The sequence below is a fragment of the Homo sapiens genome, chromosome 13 (assembly GCF_000001405.40).
Source record: "Homo sapiens chromosome 13, GRCh38.p14 Primary Assembly".
Lineage (NCBI taxonomy): Eukaryota > Metazoa > Chordata > Mammalia > Primates > Hominidae > Homo > Homo sapiens.
In genome coordinates, this window is record NC_000013.11 from 79401268 (window position 1) to 79405703 (window position 4436).

General features: G+C 38.2%; 1 protein-coding gene across 50 annotated transcripts in view; it reads right to left on the reverse strand.

Moving 5' to 3' along the window:
- Positions 1-4436, reverse strand: part of RBM26 (RNA binding motif protein 26) — a 94429-nt gene that overhangs the window by 89441 nt on the left and 552 nt on the right. Inside the window, exon 1 of one of the 50 annotated variants that reach the window (XM_011535195.2) lies at positions 1762-3499. The exons of the other annotated variants lie outside the window; for them this stretch is intronic. The gene's annotated coding sequence lies outside the window, so the exon portion shown is untranslated. Of the gene's footprint in view, positions 1-1761; positions 3500-4436 lie in introns of those variants that run through there. 50 annotated transcript variants of the gene reach the window in all.

A 4436-nucleotide genomic window follows, 5' to 3' on the forward strand; every position in this document is an offset into this window, starting at 1 on the left:
CTCTAAAGCACTGATAATCACGATGCTTTAGAACTTTGTTCTTTTACAATAGTAGCCAATACTATCAAAATGTCATAGTAAAAAAGTATATGCAGTAACAGAAAACACTAGGATGCTGCATTCTGTAGTAGTAAATTAAGAATATGCACACAGCTCTAGAGTCAAAAAGCCTTAGTTTAAATCACTGTGGGCAAATAACTTCATGCTTCAGTGCCTCAGTATCATCACCTGCAAAATGGAGAGATAACAATGCTTACCTCATAAAACTTGTAAGTACAATAATACAAAATGTTTAACAACAATGCATACAGTTTAGGTGGTAGTCACAGCAGGAGTGTTGGTGATAATTCTAACAGTAGCAACAGTAGTAATGTAGCCTATCTGTGTTTAATCAACCAATATCTAAGAAAGGAGGGGAAGGGCAAGGCTCACAAACATGTGTCCCATTCAACCCTTTCAACTATAGATGGAAATACTGTAATTCTTCCTATTATACCAATAAGGAAAGAGGAGGTTTCTTTGCCTAGACAGCTAATAAATGGCAGAAGTGAGATTTGAATACTGATCTGGACACAGAGATCTTCCTTCCACCACACACTTCCTCCACAGCACTACACAGTGGCAGAAGCACAACACTAGGCATTTTGTTCTTTACTACTCAACTCACAAAACCTCAGTACGTCATTACATCCACCTGCCCCTCAATTTTATTTTCTAAAAAATTAAAGTTTCATTAGATGTTTAGGTGTCTCTTCAGGAAAAAAAAAAAAACATGACTTTGATGTGTAAGTCCACCTAAAAGTTTTAAATACAGTAGAAAGTGTTTTCTGTTTTTTTTGTTTGTTTAAAAGTTTACTACAACAAAGGAGCTTAATTTTTTTTTCAGGACTTCTCATCATCAAAACGAAATGTTAGAAAAAAGACTAACATTTAGTTTCATATTATTGGCAAGTATGACTAAGCAAATCTTTGAGATAACAAAACATCAATCTTAAGCATTTCAAGATGACAATTTTAATAAAGTTCAAAATTCTCAATTTATGAAAAAGACATTGAAAATTATTTTCAATAATTTATGAAACTCAGAACCCTGATACATGTACAGAAGTTATGAAACAGTAAATACAGATATGCAGACTTCTATTTCACGCTGAAAACACAGCCAGGCTTTTTTTTTTTTTTTTAAACATCCATCTGAAAACCCTCTTGCCCTAAAACCCTTCACTGGCTTCCCACTATCCTTCAATAACATCCAAAGTCTTAAACATGACTCAACAAAGTCCTGTGTGATCTGGCTCCTATCTCTGGAGCTTTCCACTGCCATTCTTCTCCTTTGCTTTTTTCTATTTCTTTCAATTCCTCCAACATATCTTTTTTGTCCATTTTTAGGACCTCCATACAATCTGTTCACCAAACCTATAACGCTTTCACAGGTCTCCAATCCCATCCTTTTGCCCCAGCAAAGTATTCTTCATCCTTCCAAGCTGAGATAAACATTACACCAGGGAAGTGTTTCCTGATGTTCCCAGACTTCAACACCTATCTTTCCTGCTAAATGGTAAATAAAATGAAGTGAGTCATTTCATGTCTTGTTACCTACTATATCTTGCACACTGCTTAGCACAGAGTAGGTTAAGTACTCTTAAAATAAATGTTTGCTGAATTAACACATTCAAAATGTGGAGTAAGTCCAAAACCATGAAGTATTTAACCACCACAGGTAACTAAAAAGTTTTATGTAAGTTTCAAGTTACAGCTTACCCTTGGTCCTCTGTATGTTCCTCTCTCAAACAGAGGTCGTTTGGTAATTACAATGTTAAAGCAAAAAAAAAAAAAAATTCCTTTTAGATAACAGATCATAACATTTCACAAAACCAACGTTAGAAACCACTGATCCATAATTGGGATCAGCTTTTATAAGTCATCATACAAAAGAATCCACCTGAAATGCAATTAAAAGGACAAGAACTTGAATAAGGGCTCAATTTTACCACAGCTACACACATTAGAAAAGGACCAATTACAATTCCCAGTGTCTAGGCTCTACTAGCAGAGCCTTATTTATTACAACATAATGACTGCAGTGCTACAGCCATCGAGAGTAGGCTTTATGATACATGGAATATGTTTCATTAAGACTAAAGAAAAATTACAAGCATACACTCTAAGTAGCTACAGTCTTCTCATTTAGGTAAGATGGAGGGATACGGCAGTAAATCTAATATGAAACTGAACGCTTAAAGGAAAGCTATTTCAATCCAAAACATTTATAAGTTTTGTATTCACCTAATAACTACTGAATGCTAATTACACACCAGACAGTAGTCTAAGATTTCCTTAATATACACCCATTATTTTCCCAATTTTACAGTTGAGGAAATGGAAGCCCTGAGTTAAGTAACTTACCCAATATCATACAGCTGGTAAGTGGCAGAGGCAGAATTCAAAGCCAGACATTCTGCTCCAGAGTTCTCCTCACCGCTATACTATGATGCCCACTCTCCAATACACCGAAATAGGACTTCCATCTGCACAACTCTACTCCAGTGAAACTATTTTGCTAAGGTTACCAATGACTTCCACTTTGCTAAATCTAAGGGCTACCTATTTGCCTCCATTTTTTCATGCATTCTGCAGCATTTCATAAACTCCTCTCTTTTGCCATACACTTGTTTTTTAATGACATAAAGCCCAGTTTTCCTCCTGCCTCAGTACTAGGCCCTCTTCTCTTCCCTACCTACACACTTTTTCTATGAAATTTCCCACAATGTCATCGTCTTAAATACTATCTGCATGACTCCAGATTTCTCCAGTCCTGTCCTGAGTTTTAGACTCATATATTCAATGATCTGCTATCACACTTAGCTGTATCCCACAGACTTCATACTTACTGTATTTATTATTATCAAAACTAGCCATCCACTTTCCTTCTCCCCTTAACCTGTTCTCTGCCTTCTCTAATATCACCCATTCTGTTGCTTGGGTTATCTAAGGCACCACCCTTGATTTCCCTTTCCCTCATCTCCCGCATTTAATCCATTAATTTTACTTATGAAATGTATTTGGATCTGCCTGTCTCCACCATCACTCTAATGCAAACTAGCCACATCTCTGCCTACAACACACTTCTGAATAATCTTCTTACTTCCATTCTTGCCCTTTCAGTCTCTACAAAATAGGCAGAGTTAAAACAAAATTAAATCAGTCCTTGTCTGCTTTAAATCATCTCACGTCTTCCCATACATGATGTGGCCCCTACCTACTTGTCCAACTTGTTGCCTTTATATCCTCTCCCTCATCACAAGGCTCTTTCCAGCCACAGTGGCCTTTCTCTTCCTGAAACACACCACAATCACTTCTGCTACAGGGCCTTTCATTTGCTCTTCCTTTTGCAAGGAATGTTCTTTTCCAAGACTTTGACACACATGGTCCCTTCTCTTTAGATGTTACTCCAATGTCACCTTCTCTGAGAGTCCTTCCTTGACCAATGTGAAATAGCCCCCCTCATAATCACTTTTACATGATTCTCTATTATTACAATAGTCACAACTCTATTAATATCTGGATTTATTTATGTCTTGTCGATTTTAGAATTTAAAAGCTCTATCCCCAAAGCCTCCCGTAGTATACAGTAGGTACCTAATAACTTTATTAAATACGTGAATTTTCCCCATTGCATTATTGTAAATCAACCAATTCTGATTAAGCACTTTGGTCCATGTCATATTTTGTATTAACAAGTCGTCAAAACACTCCTTAAATTTTCCAATCTAAGACTATTTCAGCACTCTAACCGCAGCCCCCAACACAAAATCTATCTATAGCATCCCACTTAAAACTGCTAAATATTCCATATGGATGAAGATTCAATTTTCTTCCTCCTCTCCAAGCTAACGAACGCGTAGGCGGGAAAGGGGAATTTTACTGGCCACCTCAGCACCTGTTACATCTTCAATCAGTGAAGAGAGGTGCAGATGAGCCAGACAGCACATGGGAGACGTGGCCTTGCTTTCAGGAATTATATTTAGGTGAAACGTGAGTGATTTAAGCTAGAACTGCCCGAATCCCCAATAAAGGCCGTCTACTTCATTTAGAAAAACAAGGTAAAATAATCTGTAGGAAGTAAAATACAGTCGGTTTCACTAAAATAAACCGATTTTGAGGCCCCCGGAAAATATTGCGGGTGGGGGTTGGAGACGGTCTATATATAACGGGAAAACGAGAGCAGCTCAGCAATAAAATAAAGCTCGACTCAGGCTCTCGGGGGTATCCTGAATCTGGAAGCGAGGTGGACGAGGAGGAGAAGCCACAGAACCCTGGGACCTCCGTTCACCGCTTCGGCCTCCACCGCAGGCACTTGGGGAAACTGCACAGATCTCTGGGTCCGCCTATCTCCCACTGCCATCCCTGCAAAGAGATATCCCCCGGATACTCAC